The sequence below is a fragment of the Homo sapiens genome, chromosome 5 (assembly GCF_000001405.40).
Source record: "Homo sapiens chromosome 5, GRCh38.p14 Primary Assembly".
Lineage (NCBI taxonomy): Eukaryota > Metazoa > Chordata > Mammalia > Primates > Hominidae > Homo > Homo sapiens.
The window spans coordinates 99,514,071-99,532,406 of NC_000005.10; the positions used below are offsets into that span (position 1 = coordinate 99,514,071).

Genomic DNA, 18,336 nt, shown 5'->3' on the forward strand with positions numbered 1-18,336 from the left:
GAGTGCAGTGGCGCCATCTCCGCTCACTGCAAGCTCTGCCTCCTGGGTTCACGCCATTCTCCTGCCTCAGCCACCCGAGGAGCTGGGACTACAGGTGCCTGCCACCACACCTGGCTAATTTTTTGTATTTTTAGTAGAGACGGGGTTTCACGGTGTTAGCCAGGATGGTCTTGATCTTCTGACCTCATGATCTGCCCGCCTCAGCCTCCCAAAGTGCTGGGATTACAGGCGTGAGCCACTGCTCCCGGCCCGTATGCTGTAGTTTTAGGAAAGATAGTAGGTTTTTGACTATATGCCTTTGTTTTATTAACCCTATATTATCTCTTCCACATTGTTTTTTGTGCCTGCTGCCTAATTTTTGTGACAACTGCTTCCGTAAGGGCATCCTTGCTGCTTTGAGAATGAACCGCCCATGGACTTCATGGTTTCTGGGTACTTTCATATGAGGCTGTTGCACTCTTTCTGGGTGGTGCTTTCCTAATCATTCTGATCTTTTCCTACTAGAAATTTCTGGATAATTTCCAGTTTTCAGTAGTCCTTTCATTTATCCTGATTTTATATTTTTCTAGGTTATTTCTTTTGGCATTTGGAGTAGGGAAGTCTGATGAAGTCCTCAGCTCTTTTTCCTTAGACGTCTTCTATATTTCCTATTTCCAAATTCTTAAGGATTCCTTATTTCTATTCTTTTTTTGCACCCTCTGCAGAATCAACCTTATATTGACAAAATATATTTTTACATTTTTGGGTGACATTTACAAGTCCTTAATTAATTAATTAATTAATTAATTAATTTTTTGAGATGGAGTCTCACTCATTCACCCAGGCTGTAGTGCGGTGGCGTGATCTTGGCTCACTGCAAGCTCCACCTCCCGGATTCATGCCATTCTCCTGGCTCAGCCTCCCGAGTAGCTGGGACTACAGGCGCCTGCCATGACGCCTGGCTAATTTTTTGTATTTTCAGTAGAGACGGGGTTTCACCGTGTTAGCCAGGATGGTCTCGATCTCCTGACCTCGTGATCCGCCTGCCTCAGCCTCCCAAAGTGTTAGGATTACAGGCGTGAGCCACCGCGCCCGGCCCAAGTCCTTAATTTGTAAGTCTTGAGTATTTTGGTTAGCAATAATTAAGACATGTACTAAACATATACTAACTTGTAGTGCATTTGAAATAACATTGCATTTGGCTACCAAGATTTTATACCCCTCAAATAATCTTAGCATTGGAAATAAAGTAGTAATAATAATAATTACTTGTTTCAGTTACTGTACTAGGTGTCTTTATGTATATTATTTTTAATCCTCACCCAATTTTATAAAAAGTATTATTTCTCATGTTTTTTTCAGTGGAGGAAACCAGGACTCAGCAAAGTTATATTAACTAGTACATGAACTCCGTGGGTTCAGGAGCATCTCTGTATAGTGCTGCCATCTAGTCTTGTCTCCTCATTTCCCATGAAATAAGGAGACTGAGGCCGGGCGTGGTGGCTCATGCCTGTAATCCCAGCACTTTGGGAGGCCAAGGTGGGCGGAACACGAGGTCAGGAGTTTGAGACCAGCCTGACCAACATGGCGAAACCCCGTCTCTACTAAAAATACAAAAATTAGCCCAGCGTGGTGGCACGCGCCTGTAATCCCAGCTACTTAGGAGGCTGAAGCAGGAGAATTGCTTGAACCCAGGAGGTGGTGGTTGCAGTGAGCTGAGATCGTGCCACTGCACTCCAGCCTGGGTGACAGAGCGAGACTCTGTATCGAAAAAAAAAAAAAAAAGAGACTGAGTCTAGTGAAGCCAGTGGACTTGCTCATCATCACGCAGCTAGTTAGCAGCAGAATGAGGACTTGGATCCCTGAACTCCTGACTCACATTCCGGTGCACTTTTCACTACAGCAGGACACCTTGGCTCCTGAGCCCCAAGTGACAGCCCCAGACAGCTGTGTTTATCTGTCTTGCATGTCCCAGCTTGTTTTGCTAGCTGAGCAAAAACTACTTAAAAGGATCCTCAATCTTCACCTTCCCACTCCCTTCCACTTCTACTCATATACTCCCACTTGCCCCATGAATGACTTCACAGAAACAATTGTACAATGTCACTAAGCCTTCCTCTGGTGTCAGAGTTACTCCCTGAGAGAGCATTCACTTCCTCATGACTCCGGTTTACTGGTTAGATTGGCTTTCCCTCTCTTCTCTCTGATCGGAATCTTCATTGTTTAGGCAGGAATTTGAGGAGCAGATGTTATGCCCCTTGAACAGGCCCTTTAATTCGCCTTAGTACTGTGTCTAATGACTCTTAATCCTGTCCTTTTAACTCTGTGGCTAGCAGATTTCGGAGTGAAGTGAGACAGGAATGATGAGCTTGAAGCTGAACATTTCATTTTAATGTTGGCAAAGTAGTCTACAGATAGTACATGACAAACAGTGAGACAGAGGGAACATGTTAAAAGTGTTCCTATATAGCAGAAAAACAATGTGAACATTAGTGTGGGATCACTGAAATTTTGGGTTTCCCGTCAAATGTAGATAGAACAGTTTGGTTGATTAGTTTGCCAGAGAAATGGAGCCATTGACTGTTTCTACTTTGTCTTCTTAAACTTTTATATTTTTTAGATTTTCATTTCCCTTTTAAAATAAAAATAAATCATCAGAAGAAACAAAGTGATCTCTTATTTTTCCTGGTTACTGGAGAAAATTACACTTCCCCCAAATGGGAGTAGCATTAACAAGCATATATCCTGTGAACTGATTCCTTCCATTCTTTAGAGACTTTGGTTTAGCGCTCTGAACTTTCTGATTATCAGATCTTATGTGTTTGCTAATACATAAAATAACAAATTAGACATAATGCCCTATAATTTTCTCAGTTTGATTAATTGCCTGAAATTTGATCTATCAGTTAGTGTTTGATTAGAATAGAGAAATCACATGTAATTTGAACAAGGAAAGATTAATACGAAGAACTGCTAGCTATAACAGGGTTTTGGAGCAATGAGGATTGGCTAGTAAAAAGTGAAGAGAACTCTAAGGAATATAAGAATAACAGATAAAAGGAGCATCAACCCCTGGGGTTGAGATAGAACATCCAGGGCCTCTGGGATTAAGATCCAGACCCTGTTTGAGGGGGCATGGCTGTGGCTCACTGAATGAAGAGAAGTTGCTGTGGTAGAAATCTGTCTCATCAGAATCACTCTGCTATAATACTGCCTTGTGGAGGTACTGGTGGAAGATACTGGGTGCTGCTGACTGCTGTGCACTTCAGGAGCCTGACAATGGAGCAAACTGCACGGGTTCTGGATCTGGACACTGGAGAAGCTGTGTTGCAGTACAGAAGCCTGCCAAGAGGAGCACACAAGACTCTTGGAAAGAAGAGGAAAATCTCCTCTTACAATGTCGATCTAACATCATGCCAACTAGCAAAGGAAAAATGTTTAAAGGGTCCAAGTTCATTTTTGCAGAGCAGACAGGAAAGGATGAATTCAGAGCTGAGAGACAATAAGTGGACAACTGGCACATTTGGTCAAACTTGTAATTTTATATCTTAGATGGACAAATTTAAACCCAAGTCCATAGGTGTTTTCCTTACAAGCTTACATTTAAATTTGCGATCCTGGTCAGAATTTTGCTAAGGACTTCATTCTTTCCCAGTGTTTCAGGAAGGCTACCATGGGGCCAGAGCCACTTTTCTTTATTGTAAGGTCCTGGGCTGTGGCCCCTTTTGCTTTTCTGGGCTCCTTTCTCATGGGCATCTGTTTTGGGAGCTTCATTTCCTCATCTGCTTTGACACTTTAATCTTGGACGTTGTAGTGAAATGCTTCACATTGTCACACATTCTAATCTCAGAGACCACTCCAAATCTTTTTGAATTTTCTTGGCCATTGGAATTAGTACTCTGGAATCAGTACATTAAGAATGGTTTTTTAAAAACTATGAGCTAGAATTTCAACATTTTAGAAGAAATAGTCAGTATAAATTTGGAGAAGCAGTTTCTAGCTAGTAGTAGCTGTGCAGAAAAACAGTTTTATTGATAAGTATCTGATTTGGATTTAGGAACCAGCTAGGATGAAAAATTCAATTGAGGTCTGGCCAGTTAGACATAAATTTTATTTTTCCTTTATATTCTGTGTCCAAAAGACAAATTGTCATGAGTTATTTTTTTTTTCTGAAGTATCCGTTTGTTTCTCAGCTTTGGAATTAGAGGTGTAGAAAATAAACGGGACTCAACAGCCTAAGATTTTGTTTAAAAAGATGTTCTTATTTATTTATATTAAAAAAATTTCTAAACTTTTTTTTTTTGCAAGAAACTGTATGTCAGCATTTTCACTTTTGATAGATAAATTTTATATTTGGGATTTTGATTATGAAGTTCTTTCTGCACCAGAATTCCTTATGGATTTTTGTAATAATCTGTATTTAGTGTGTTTAATTATTTGCTTTCCATTTATATTTATTTTGGGATTTCTTTTTTAAGAGAATGGCACCTGTGACAGCATACTGTTAATATTACCCTTGTATCGTACTTTACCATGCCATCTCTGAAGAATGTTACAGACCATTTTGGAGCATGGTGAATAACAAATTTTTACCTTAGGAGTTCACTTGAATAGTCGTTTTTATATTTGTGACTGCAAGTCACTTTTAGGGGCTGTACTTCCTTAGTACTGGTAGCATTATTATCCAATGGACTTTTATAGCTTTCATTAGGTTTTCTTTTGTTTTTGTTCTTTAAAGAACATTTTACTTATCTTAGTATTTCATTTTTCATCTATATTATGAGGCAGTAAGAGTCTTCTGTTTTTCCAAAGTGGAGACTGCTTTATATTTATTTCATATTGTCTACAGCTGTAGTGTTCAATACAGTAGCCACTGGCCACATGGGGTTATTTAAATAAGATGAAATAAAAATTGGCCGGGCGCGGTGGCTCACGCCTGTAATCCCAGCACTTTGGGAGGCCGAGGCGGGCAGATCATGAGGTCAGGAGGTCGAGACCATCCTTAATAAGATGGTGAAACCCCATCTCTATTAAAAATACAAAAAATTAGCTGGGCGTGGTGGCGGGCACCTGCAGTCCCAGCTACTCAGGAGGCTGAGGCAGGAGAATGGCTTGAACCTGGGAGGCAGAGTTTGCAGTGAGCCGAGATGGCGCCACTGCACTCCAGCCTGGGGGACAGAGCGAGACTCCTTCTCAAAAAAAAATAAAAAAAAATAAAAAAAAATAAAAAAAAATAAAAATTAAGTTCTTTAGTTGCACTAGCCATATTTCAAATACTTGATGGATACCTGTGGCTAGTGGCTAACATAATGGATAGCACAGATATAAAACATTTCCTCGTCATATAAAGTTCTATTGGATAGTGCTGGTCTGTAGCTTATAGGATGGTATCTTAGTCTGCTTCAGCTGCTAAAACAGAATACCACAAATTAGGTAGCTTAATCAGTAGATATTTTGACCAGGCATGGTGGCTTATGCCTGTATTCCTAACACTTTGGGAGGCCGAGGCAGGTGGATAACTTGAGCTCAGGAGTTTGAGACTAGCCTGGGCAGCATGGCAAAACCTTGTCTCTACAAAAATTAGCTGGGCATGGTGGTGCACGCCTGTAGTCTGAGCTACTTGGGAGGCTGAGGTGGGAGAATTGCTTGAACCTGGGAGGTGGAGGTTGCAGTGAGCCATGATCGCACCACTGTACTCCAGCCTGGATGACAGAATGAGACTCTGTCTCAAAAAAAAAAAAAAAAAAAAAAGAAGAGGTATTTCTCACAGTTCTGGAGGCTGGAAGTGCAAGATCAAAGTGTTGGCAAATTACGTTTCTTAAAGAGGGCCTCCTTCCTAGATTGGAAATGGCCATCTTCTCTCAGTATCCTCACATGGTAGGGAGAAAAGCAGCTCTAGTGTCTCTTCTTATAAAGGAAGTAATGCCACTATAGGGGCTCTATTCTCATGACCTCATCTAAACCTAATTCTCTCCTAAAGGCCACGCCTCCCAATATCCTCACCTTGGGGGTTAGGGCTTTATCATATGAATTTTTTTTTTTTTTTAAGACAGAGTCTCGCTCTGTCTGTCACCCAGGCTGGAGTGCAGTGGCACAATCTCGGCTCTCTACAAGCTCCGCTTCCTGGGTTCACGCCATTCTCCTGTGTCAGCCTCCTCAGTAGTTGGGACTAAGGCGCCCACCGCTGCGCCCGGCTAATTTTTTGTATTTTTAGTAGAGATGGGGTTTTACCATGTTAGCCAGGATGATCTCGATCTCCTGACGTGGTGATCCACCCGCCTCGGCCTCCCAAAGTGCTGGGATTGCAGGCATGAGCCACCGCGCCCGGCCTATCATATGAATTTTGAGGGAACACAAACATGCAGTCTGTAGCAGATGGTAATAGGCTGATATATTGCACTTGTTGATGTAAATCTGATAGGTTTCTTTCTCTCCAAGGACAGCTTTTAAAATATTTAACAATACCAATAATTTTTCAGGTTCTGTGAGAATTTTGTAATTTATAAGTTGCAAACTTAAAATAATCTATAATCTATTTTGTCCTAACAATTACAAATATATTTTTTTATTTCAGATTATATGTATTCCTACCAGATGGAGATAATTACAGCTTTAAAAATTTTTATTTTTTCATTTTATTTCACATATTGACATTAAATTTTTATTGACACATACTTGTACATATATATGGGGTACAATGTGATGTTTTAATACATGTACTCAATGTGTAATGATCAAATCAGGGTAATTTGCATAATGATTTTTCTGTAGGGAGAAAATTCAAAATCTACTCTTCTGGCTATTTTCAAATATATAATATGTTATTGTTAACTATACTCATCCTACTATGCAATAGGACACCAGAACTTATTCCTGGGTTCTACATCTGTTTATTAAGCCAACCAAGGATTGGAAATATTGGGAAAAAAAATTGCGTCTGTACTGAACATGTACAGACTTTTTTCTTGTCCTTATTCCTTACACAATATAGTACAATAACTATTTGCATAACATTTACATTGAATATTATGAGTGATCTAGAGTTGATATGAAGTATATGGGAGGATGTGTAAAGGTGATCTGCAAATACTATGTCATTTTATATCAGGGACTTGAGTATCCTATGTTATCCTCAGGAGATCCTGAAACTAGTCCCCCATGGATACTGAGGGCTGACTGTATAGTCCTATCCTCACGGAACTTTCATTCTAATGAGGGAAGACTGACTATAAACAAAATATATATAATAGGCGGTGGTAAGTACCGTGGAGAAGTAACAAATGGGGCAAAGTGAGTTATACAGCTCCATTCTTAGAAACCTTGGAGTACTTTTCTTAGTTTATACTCGTGGTGGTTTCCTTTTGTCTCCTTTATTACATGGGACTCTGACATGTGCGCATAGCTAGGGTGGCAGTAGGATCTACCCGATAGTAGGGTGGAAGTAGGATCTACCCAAAAAGCATCCTGCTGATACAGGACCAAAGAATCCTGTTGTTCTCCAGCCTATAAAAAGAGCTAATGGTCTTGCTTCTCTTAACTGTGGCCTCCTACACTGTGTTTTGGACGATTGGTGATGTCTTGGATATTCTGTTTCTTTGGAACTTTGAGTATACAACACTTTACTAGGGAATTAGCAATGGAAGCAGAGCAAAGATGTACAGAGGAAACAATGCATAACTCTGATGGAATTGAAGTCATGAGGCAGCAGAAAGCTGAAATAGGCAGAGTGGGAGGGTTAGAGGGGATTCAGTTGGGAGTAACAGAAGTAATAGTTAACGGAGCCAGAATGCTTGAGTCATATAATTGCAAAGCAGAGTTAGGAGCAACAGGTGCTAAAGAGTAGTTGCTGTAGTTCCTCTCTGGGTGGTAGGAGCAGTTGTCATATTACTATATAGCTACTGAATGAAGAAGAGTTCTTAGTGAGGTCTGGGTGAACAGCTCTTAGTATTCTGTGTGACCCCATTTGACCTTTTAGCAAATCTCTAAGTCAATAAATAGCCCCTAAGGTAAACTAAGTTTTTCTCTGCTATTTTTTTGCTTGAGAGAGCTATAACTGTAATAGACTTATATTTCTGAACATTTTAGTGCTTGCCAATATTTGGTAATATTTATGTTTCCTATATTTGTAATGAACATACTTCTTCTGGTACATTTTTTGTAAATTATTGTTTCATGCATAAAAGTTCGCCTTTTATTGTATAAAATTCACTCAGATTAATTTATACACATTGACAATGGGTAAATAGAATTTTTCAGATTATTAAAAGCTGAAGGATGCCCATGTAAGCAAAAAAAAAAAAAAAAAAAAAAAAAACCAACAAACATAAACCCAAACCCCTCAAACAATTTCAAACACAAAACATTCTTCGCATGCCGGCATTCATTCTCATGCCGGCATCCATGCTTGCAGCTGTGAAGGGGGCAGGAATCAGCGAGGTGACCTGGGCTGAGTCCCGGGAGTGGGAATATGTGGCAGGAAGGGGATCTGAGGAGGAGAACAGGGGTCCTGGTGGTCTGTGCTTCTTCCCAGACACGGGAGCTGTAGAGGGGACCTGTGCAGCAGATGCTAGGGGGGCCACTAGGCCCAGGCAGTCTTGGGACTTGGGTCTGTCCTGCTGTGCATCCATAGTGGGTGCTTTAGAAACGCTAGACCCACCAGAAGCCCCTGTTGCAAGTGAGGACAAAGTGTGGGAAGGCCGTGAGTGTCTGCAGTGCCAGATGGCCTTGTCCTCAACCTGCAGTGCACTGTTGATGCGGGGCCTAGAGGCCTGGGATCTGGGGGAGCCACCCCTGGGGGCGAGTGTCTGCCCTGGTGCTGTATCTGCGTTGTTTTCACAGTGGCTGTGACCCGAAGAGACAGCCTGAGGTCCATCCTCACTCACTGTGTTTGAGGAACTGAGGGCCAGCTGGCAGTGGGATGAGGCTGGCCCCCTCCTCCGCTTTAGTTCCGGGAGGCCTTCCGTAGAGCTGTAGGAGCTCGAGCTGGCATTTCGTTTGGTGCACGATCTGGTCCGGGAGGTCTGGGATCTCTGGTTATATCTCACTTCTGACCTCTGGGCACCTGCTGCAGCTGTGGCTGAGGCCCAGAAATATGAGGGGCCTGCATCCATTGCATTGAGTAGTAACCCCAACATGGGGTTCAATGTGGAGGGGGGAGGGGCTGCTGCGGCAGCTGCAGGAGCCGACGTTCTAGGCCTCCTTCTTCTCATGCCGGCATCCATGCTTGCAGCTGTAAAGGGGGCAGGAATCAGCGAGGTGACCTGGGCTGAGTCCCGGGAGTGGGAAGAGGTGGCAGGAAGGGGATCTGAGGAGGAGAACAGGGGTCCTGGTGGTCTGTGCTTCTTCCCAGACACGGGAGCTGTAGAGGGGACCTGTGCAGCAGATGCTAGGGGGGCCACTAGGCCCAGGCAGTCTTGGGACTTGGGTCTGTCCTGCTGTGCATCCATAGTGGGTGCTTTAGAAACGCTAGACCCACCAGAAGCCCCTGTTGCAAGTGAGGACAAAGTGTGGGAAGGCCATGAGGGTCTGCAGTGCGAGATGGCCTTGTCCTCAACCTGCAGTGCACTGTTGATGCAGGGCCTAGAGGCCTGGGATCTGGGGGAGCCACCCGTGGGGGCGAGTGTCTGCCCTGGTGCTGTATCTGCGTTGTTTTCACAGTGGCTGTGACCCGAAGAGACAGCCTGAGGTCCGTCCTCACTCACTGTGTTTGAGGAACTGAGGGCCAGCTGGCAGTGGGATGAGGCTGGTCCCCTCCTCCGCTTTAGTTCCGGGAGGCCTTCCGTAGAGCTGTAGGAGCTCGAGCTGGCATTTCGTTTGGTGCACGATCTGGTCCGGGAGGTCTGGGATCTCTGGTTATATCTCACTTCTGACCTCTGGGCACCTGCTGCAGCTGTGGCTGAGGCCCAGAAATATGAGGGGCCTGCATCCATTGCATTGAGTAGTAACCCCAACATGGGGTTCAATGTGGAGGGGGGAGGGGCTGCTGCGGCAGCTGCAGGAGCCGACGTGCCAGGCCTTGTTCTTCTCATGCCGGCATCCATGCTTGCAGCTGTGAAGGGGGCAGGAATCAGCGAGGTGTACTGGGCTGAGTCCCGGGAGTGGGAAGATGTGGCAGGAAGGGGATCTGAGGAGGAGAACAGGGGTCCTGGTGGTCTGTGCTTCTTCCCAGACACAGGAGCTGTGGAGGGGACCTGTGCAGCAGATGCTAGGGGGGCCACTAGGCCCAGGCAGTCTTGGGACTTGGGTCTGTCCTGCTGTGCATCCATAGTGGGTGCTTTAGAAACGGGAGACCCACCAGAAGCCCCTGTTGCAAGTGAGGAGAAAGTGTGGGAAGGCCGTGAGGGTCTGCAATCCGAGATGGCCTTGTCCTCAACCTGCAGTGCACTGTTGATCCGGTGTAATGCCGCCTCTTTTTCCAGGTGCAGGTCTTCATCAGTGACCCGGTACCCCCGCTCTAAGGGAGGTGGCAGCATCAAAGGCTCCCCTCGCCTGCGTGGCAGCAGGGGAATCTTGTGTCTATGGGGCCTAGAGGCCTGAGATCTGGGGGAGCCACCCCTTGGGGCGAGTGTCTGCCCTGGTGCTGTATCTGCCGCCTGTTCACACCGTGTTTGACCCAAAGAGACAGCCTGAAGCCTGTCCTCACTCACTGTCATTGAGTAACTGAGGGTCAGCTGGCAGTGGGATGAGGCTGGCCCCCTCCTCTGCTTTAGCCCCGGCAAGTCTCCCGTGGAGCTGTAGGAGCTGGAGATGGCATTTCGTTTGGTGCACGAGCTCGCCCAGGAGGTCTGGGATGTCTGGTTATATCTGATTTCTGAGCTCTGGGCATTCAGTTCTGTCTGCAGAGGCCCGGGCCTGGGCACAAAGGGAGAGAGGCCTCCATTGTCCCGCAGGGGCCGAAATGCAGACCATGCATCCCTGGTGACCTCGGGGACCGTTCTCTGATCATCAGGATTTTCTTGGACTCTAGGGTCCTCGTCCTGCTCAGGCATCCCTGCCCCGCTCTCCTGCCCTGCTGGCCCCCTCCTCCACTTTAGCCCCAGCAAGCCTCCCACGGAGCTATAGGAGCTGGAGATGGCATTTTGGTTGGTGCACGAGCTCGTCCAGGTATTCTGGGATGTCTGGTTATATCTGATTTCTGACCTCTGGGCATGGAGGTATGTCTGCAGAGGCCCGGGCCTGGGCACAAAGGGAGAGAGGACTCCATTGTCCCGCAGGGGCCGAAATGCAGACCGTGCATCCCCGGTGACCTTGGGGACCCTTCTCTGATCATCAGGATTCTCTTGGACTCTAGGGTCCTTGTCCTGCTCAGGCATCCCTGCCCCGCTCTCCTTGAGGGCCCTCAACACTATCTTCCCTGGACACAAGTCTGGGGACAGCCGGGTGTTGTGAACCCCAATGGGGTGACTACCTGCTCCTGGGGCCCCACAGAGTCCTTGTGCTCAGTGTAGTGGCTGAGCTGGAGGATGCCCTGGAACTCGGAGCACACAGCACTGACTTGCTATGGTACCTGTGCAGTGAAATTGAAGGCAGAATCACCAGGATGGAACACAGGTCTTGCAGGATCACGGAAAACCTTCTTGGAGTTGTCTTGACACCACTGATGTCGAGTGTCTGGGTGCTTGTAGGATGACCTGCCACTCAGTCCAGGGGCAGGAGCAACGGGGAGATCCCACAAGCAAAGTGAACTGGGGGATGGGTTGAAGGGGCTCCAGGCAACTGAGCCCTACTCGCAGGTCCTCAGCCTTGGCCCAAACAGGAATGAGGGGCACAGAGTGCCCAGGTAACCGCTCCTGGGAGCAGTGGGGAACCGTCGGATGCTTGAACTCTCGAGAGCTGGGCTCTGAGCGTCCTCATCCAGCTGCCAACTCGGCCAAAGGCTAAGCCAGCAGACTCTTCTGTTGCCGGGCAACGCGCCTTCTAAACCTGAGGGAGTGGGCACGTGAGCACATAATGGCACCAGTGACAGAGCGACCATAATGGATTAATAAGCACAGCCAGGTACCCGCACAAGGCACTTGCTGGCAATGGCAGGAGGCGGACGTGGGGTGTCGTGCAATAGGTACTGGAGGGAGAGACACGGGCACAAAGGTCGTGGGAGGAGCAGGTGCCCACAGTGGCTGCAGATCTGCCCGTGGATCACTGAAGATTCCTGCTCTCCTGCTGAGGTGGAGACTGCAGTGAGCTGAGATCGCACCATTGCACTCCAGCCTGGGCAACAAGTGCAAAACTCAGTCTCCAGATAAAAAAAAGAAAAAGAAAAAAAAGAGGCTGGGTGTGGTGGCTTATGCCTATAATCCTAGCACTTTGGGAGGTCGGGGTGGACGGATCACGAGATCAGGAGTTGGAGACCAGCCTGGCCAACATAGTGAAACCCCGTCTCTAGTAAAAATACAAAATTTAGTCAGACATGGTGGGCAGGAGAGAGCATGTGCAGGGGAACTCCCATTGATAAAACCATCAGATCTCATGAGACTTATTCACTACCATGAGAACAGCATGGGGGAAACTGCCTCCATGATTCAATTATCTCCACCTGGCCCCACCCTTGACACATGGGAATTGTTACAATTCCAGATGAGATTTGGGTGGGGACAGAGCCAAACCATATAATTCTTCCCCAGCCCCTCCCAAATCTCATGTCCTCACATTTCAAAAGCAATCATGCCTTCCACAAAGTCCCCCAAACTCTTATTTCAGCATTAACTCAAAATTCCATAGTCCAAAGTCTCATCTGAGACAAGGCAAGTCCCTTCCACCTATGAGCCTGTAAAATCAAAAGCAAGTTATTTTCTAGATACACAGGGATACAGGCATTGGGTAAATACACTCGTTTCAAATGGGAGAAATTGGCCAAAGCAAAAGAGCTACAGGCCCCATGCAAATCCAAAACCCAGCAGGCAAATCTTAAAGCTCCAAAATGACCTCCTTTGACTCCATGTGTCACATCTAGGTGATGCAAGAAGTGGGTTCCCAGGGTCTTGGGCAGCCCCGCCCCTGTGGCTTTGCAGGGTACAGCCCCCCTTCTGGCTGCATTGAGTGTCTGCAGCTTTTCCAGGCACACAGTGCAAGCTGTCAGTGGATCTCCCATTTTGGGGTCTGGAGGATGGTGGCCCTTTTCTCACAGCTCTGCTTGGCAGTACCCCAGTGGGAACTCTGTGTGGGGGCTCCAACCCCATATTTCCCTTTGACACTGCCCTACCAGAGGTTATCCATGAGGGCCCCCCCTCCCCCCCGCAGCAAACTTTTGCCTGGATTTCCAGGCATTTTCATACATCTTCTGAAATCTAGGCGGAGGTTCATGAACCTTAATTCTTGACTTTGGAGCATCTGCTGGCTTAACACCACCTAGAACCTGAAAGGCTTGGAACTTGCACCCTCTGAAGCCATGGCCTGAGGTGTACCTTGGCCCCTTTTACCTATGGCAGGAGCAGCTGGGATGCAGGGCACCAAGTTCCTAGGCTGCACACAGCAGGGGTTTCTGGACCCACAAAACCATTTTTCCTTCTAAGCCTCCTGGCCTGTGATGGGAGGGTCTGCTGTGAGGGTCTCTAACATGCCCTGGATACGTTTGCCCCATTGTCTTGGTGATTAACATTTGGCTCCTCATTACTTATGCAAATTTCTACAACCCAGTCTCCTCAGAAAATAGATTTTTCTTTTCTGTTGCATCATCAGGCTACAAATTTTCTGAACTTTTATGCTCTGCTTCTTCTCGCATGCTTTGCTGCTTAGAAATTTCTTCTGTCAGATACCTTAAATCATCTCTGTCAAGTTCAAAGTTCCACAGATCTCTAGGCAACTCTAGAAAAAAATTCTTATTTTCACTCTTTCCCGCCTATCTTATGCCCGTTTCTAATACAGGTGCACAATGCCTGCAGTGTCTTTGTATAGTAAGAGTGACTTCACTCCATTTCCCAACAAATTCCTCATCTCTATCTGAGACCACCTCCGCCTGGACCTTATTGTCCATATCACTATGAACATTTTGGTCAAAGCCATTCAACAAGTCTCTAGGAAGTTCCAAACTTTCCCACATTTTCCTATCCTCTTCTGAGCCTTCCAACCTGTTCCAGCCTCTCCCTGTTACCCATTTCCAAAGTTGCTTCCACATTTTCGGGTATCTTTACAGCAGCACCCCACTCTACTGGTATCAACTTATTGTATTAGTCTGTTCTCACACTGCAAGTAAAGACATACCTGAGACTGGGTAATTTATAAAGGAAAGAGGTTGAATTGACTCACAGTTCTGCATGGCTGGGGAGGCCTCACAATCATGGTGGAAGGCAAGGAGGTGCAAAAGCATGTCTCACATAGTGGCAGGCAGGAGAGAGCATGTGCAGGGGAACTCCCATTTATAAAACCATCAGATCTCATGAGACTTATTCACTACCACGAGAACAGTATGGGGGGAACCATCCCCATGATTCAGTTATCTGCACCTGGCCCCACCCTTGACACGTAGGAATTATTACAATGCAAGGTGAGATTTGGGTGGGGACACATCCAAAGTAAATCAGTAGGTTTTGACTTCTTGCTTGATTGCTAGGTTGCATAGAGGACAAACATGGAAATTAATTAAGTACGTTAATATCTGGCTTCAGATCTTAGACAGGATCAGAGGGCCAGCTCAAATTTGCAAGGAGGGGAGGTAGATCCCACCATTTTATGGGTGAATGGCAAAATCAAACAGAAATTATGTGGGATGGGAGATACTGATGCAGGCATCTTTGGAAACATTCTACTTAGCTAATTTTATGCTAGGCTTTAGGTCAAGAAGAAGAGAGAGAGCTGACATGCTGTGGTACACACTTATAGTCCCAGCTACTTGGAAACCTGAGGCAGGAGGATTGCTTGATCCCAGGAGTTTGAGGTAGTGTGCGATGATCATTCTTGTGAATAGCCACTAGCCACTGAACTCCAGCTTGGGCAACATTGAGACACCCTGTCTCTTAATTTAAAAAAAAAAAAAAAAACGGAGGGAAGAAAGTGATCAGTTTTTAAGGTAAATATTTTTAATGGGATAATGATATTTTAAGATTAATGTATATTGTATATCAGTTAACTATAGGTCAATAATTATATAAAGCTTAAGGTACGAAAAACATTTATTTTTGCTAACATATCCGTGAGTTGACTGTTCTTGGCTTGGTGAGGCTGCAAGCTGCAGATGGAGTCTAGGTATGTTTTCTGTGTGTTTGTTCCCCCTTGGATCAGTGGACTACCTGAGAATGTGTTTTTGTCACAGTGATAGAATCACAAGGAAACTCCAGTTCTGGAAGTACATTTTAAGCCATTGCTTCTATCATGTCCACTAACATTCAGTCAGCCAAAGCACATACCTTGTCCATGGCTCACATTGATAGTATAGATAAATATACCTGATCTCTAGCAGGAGGAACTGCATTGTCTTGGGGAAAGGTTGTAGATATAGGGAGGGGTGATGAGTTGGGAACAATAATGTAGTCTGCCACAAACATATTAAAGTGTAACTGGATATGGTTGATGCAGAATTTTGAACCTTTGTTTTAATTCTGATTTTTACTCTTTTCCCCCTATCTAGTGCCCTTTTGTAATACAGTAATTCTCATGATTTTTGTCTGAATTGAAATCTTCTATGAGATTAGATTGTCTACAAAAATACAGTCGATCCTTCTTGTTTTCAGCTTTTGTATTTGTGAACTCACCTACTATTTTTTGTAACCCCCAAATCAGTACTCACAGCACTTTCATAGTCATGTGTTTGCATAGAGTGTCAAAGAATTTGAGTTTGAACAGGGTGATATTCTGCCTTCTTTTTCAGCTCTCATACAATAGTCAGGTATCCTTTTTGTGGTCCATTTAATGCCATGCTTTTCCTATTTTTGTACTGTTTGTTGGTTGTTTTGCCATTTAAATTAACCCCCAAGCATAGTGCTGAAGTGCTGCTTAGCATTCACAAGTCCAAGAAGTCTGTGATGTGCCTTACAGAGAAAATACATGCATTAAATCAACTCCATTCAGGCGTGAGTGCTGTAGTGCCATTGGCTGTGAGTTCAGTGTTAATGAATGAACAATGTATATTATTTATTTATTCATTCATGTAATTAATTATATATTATTTTTTTTTTTGAGATACAGTCTCACTCTGTTGCTCAGGCTGGAGTGCAGTGGTGCAGTCTTGGCTCACTGCAACCTCTGCCTCCTGGGTTCAAGCGATTCCCCTGCCTTAGCCTCCCAAGTAGCTAAGACTACAGGCATGCGCCACCATGCCTGGCTAATTTTTTTTTTTTTTTTGTAGTTTTAGTAGAGACGGGGTTTCACCACGTTGGCCAGGCTGGTCTCGAACTCCAGACCTCAAATGATCTGCCCACCTTGGCTTCCCAAAGTGCTGGGATTACAGGCGTTAGCCACTGTGCCTGGCCAACAATATATATTAAATAAGCACACATACAACAAAAGTAGGTGTTGGTAAGCTTACAAAAATATGACCAGTAGCTTGCTGAAACCTAACTTTTTATTTGTTCATGGAACTTTCTAGACCGTAACTACACTGAATAATGAGAATCTGCTGTAATCTTTTTAGGTGCTGTAGATGAGCCATTGGATTAAATTATTACAGTATGTTTCAGACTGCTGTATGTTGAACCCTAGTGAAATGCCTCTCAAACCCTCATAAGGATCACAATCTCATGTCCTTTGTTTTGTTATTAAATGCCCAGTATGTGTTAGCGATTTAAACAAAATTCAAATATAATTTTATTTTTTTGAGACAGAGTCTCGCTCTGTCACCTAAGCTGGAGAGTGCAGTGGCATGATCTCGGCTCACTACAACCTCTGCCTCCCGGGTTCAAGCGATTCTCCTGCCTCAGCATCCTGAGTAGCTGGGATTACAGGTGCCCGCCACCACGCTGGACTAATTTTTGTATTTTTAGTAGAGACGGGGTTTCGCCAGGTTGTCCAGGCTGGTCTGGAACTCCTGACCTCATGTGACCTGCCTGCCTTGGCCTCCTAAAGTGCTGGGATTATAGGCGTGAGCCACCATGCCCGGCGTTGACTTTTTAATAATAACCATTCTGACTGGTGTGAGATGGTATGCCATTGTGGTTTTGATTTGCATTTCTCTAATGATCAGTGATATTGAGCTTTTTTTCATATGCTGGTTGGCCGCATGTGTGTCTTCTTTTGAAGTGTCTGTTTATGTCCTTTGCCCACTTTCTAATGAGATTTTTTTTTCTTGTAAATTTGTTTAAGTTCCTTATCAGTGTTGGACATTAGATCTTTGTCACGTGCATTGTTGCAAAAATTTTCTCCCATTCTGTAGGTTGTCTGTTCACTCTGTTGATAGTTTCTTTTGCTGTGCAGAAGCTTCAAGAAGAAAGGAATCCGATTGGTTCTGTGTCTATCTCTTTTGGTATTCTCAGACTTATGTAGTCACCCATATAGAAAGATGATTAGGAAAATAGGACAAGAATAGCAGAAATCTACATAAAAATGTAGGAAATTAAAATTAGTTACCAGCATACAAAAAACTACTATATGTTATAATTACATACTATAACTCACCCCTCCTTGCCAAATATTCTCTCTCTTTTGACTTCAAAATCATGGCTTATATGTACTTTCTCTATTTCCCAGATGCAAATATAATTAATTGACTTTATTTATCTAGGAAATGTTACTGATATCTTAATTGTAGTCATTGGCTTGAGTGACGGGTTTTGGTAATTCAACTACTATTACTTGAAAGTGGTAGATTTCATAGGATACTGTTATAAAATCTTTTTAACCTCTTTTCTGATTTCAGGAGTAATTGGTAATTGTGGTTTACTGGAAAATTCAATGAATAGGGTGTTAAAGGAAGCAATTCATTAATAATATATCTAATCTATTGGGAGACTGAGGCGGTTGGATCACCTGAGTTCAGGAGTTCGAGACCAGCCTGGCCAACATGGCAAAACTCCGTCTCTACTAAAAATACAAAAATTCGCCGGGCATGGTGGTGCATTCCTGTATTCCCAGGTACTCGGAAGGCTGAGGCAGGAGAATCACCTGAACTCCAGAGGTGGAGTTTGCAGTGAGTCAGGATCGCAGCACTACACTCCAGCCTGGGTGACAGAGTGAGACTCCATCTCAAAAAAAAAAAAAAATTAAATTAAAAAAAAGCGGGCCGGGAGCATTGGTTCAGGGCTGGGCACAGTGGCTCAAGCCTGTAATCCCAGCACTTTGGGAGGCTGAGGCAGGCAGATCACGAGGTCAGGAGATCAAGACCATCCTGGCTAATGTGGTGAAACCCCGTCTCTACTAAAAATACAAAAATTAGCTGGATGTGGTGGCAGGTGTCTGTAATCCCAGCTATTCCAGAAGCTGAGGCAGGAGAAT

General features: G+C 44.8%; 1 pseudogene, besides 2 other annotated features; it reads right to left on the reverse strand.

Annotated features, from left to right (window-relative positions):
* Positions 1,802 to 2,002: a silencer, noted in NCBI's record as "peak5367 fragment used in MPRA reporter construct". NCBI's record gives its function as "represses an SCP1 promoter by STARR-seq MPRAs in K562 erythroleukemia cells {active_cell/tissue: K562}" and the evidence as "EXISTENCE:reporter gene assay evidence [ECO:0000049][PMID:32103011]".
* Positions 2,162 to 2,362: a silencer, noted in NCBI's record as "peak5368 fragment used in MPRA reporter construct". NCBI's record gives its function as "represses an SCP1 promoter by STARR-seq MPRAs in K562 erythroleukemia cells {active_cell/tissue: K562}" and the evidence as "EXISTENCE:reporter gene assay evidence [ECO:0000049][PMID:32103011]".
* Positions 8,328 to 11,291, reverse strand: LOC100652833 (putative POM121-like protein 1-like; annotated as a pseudogene).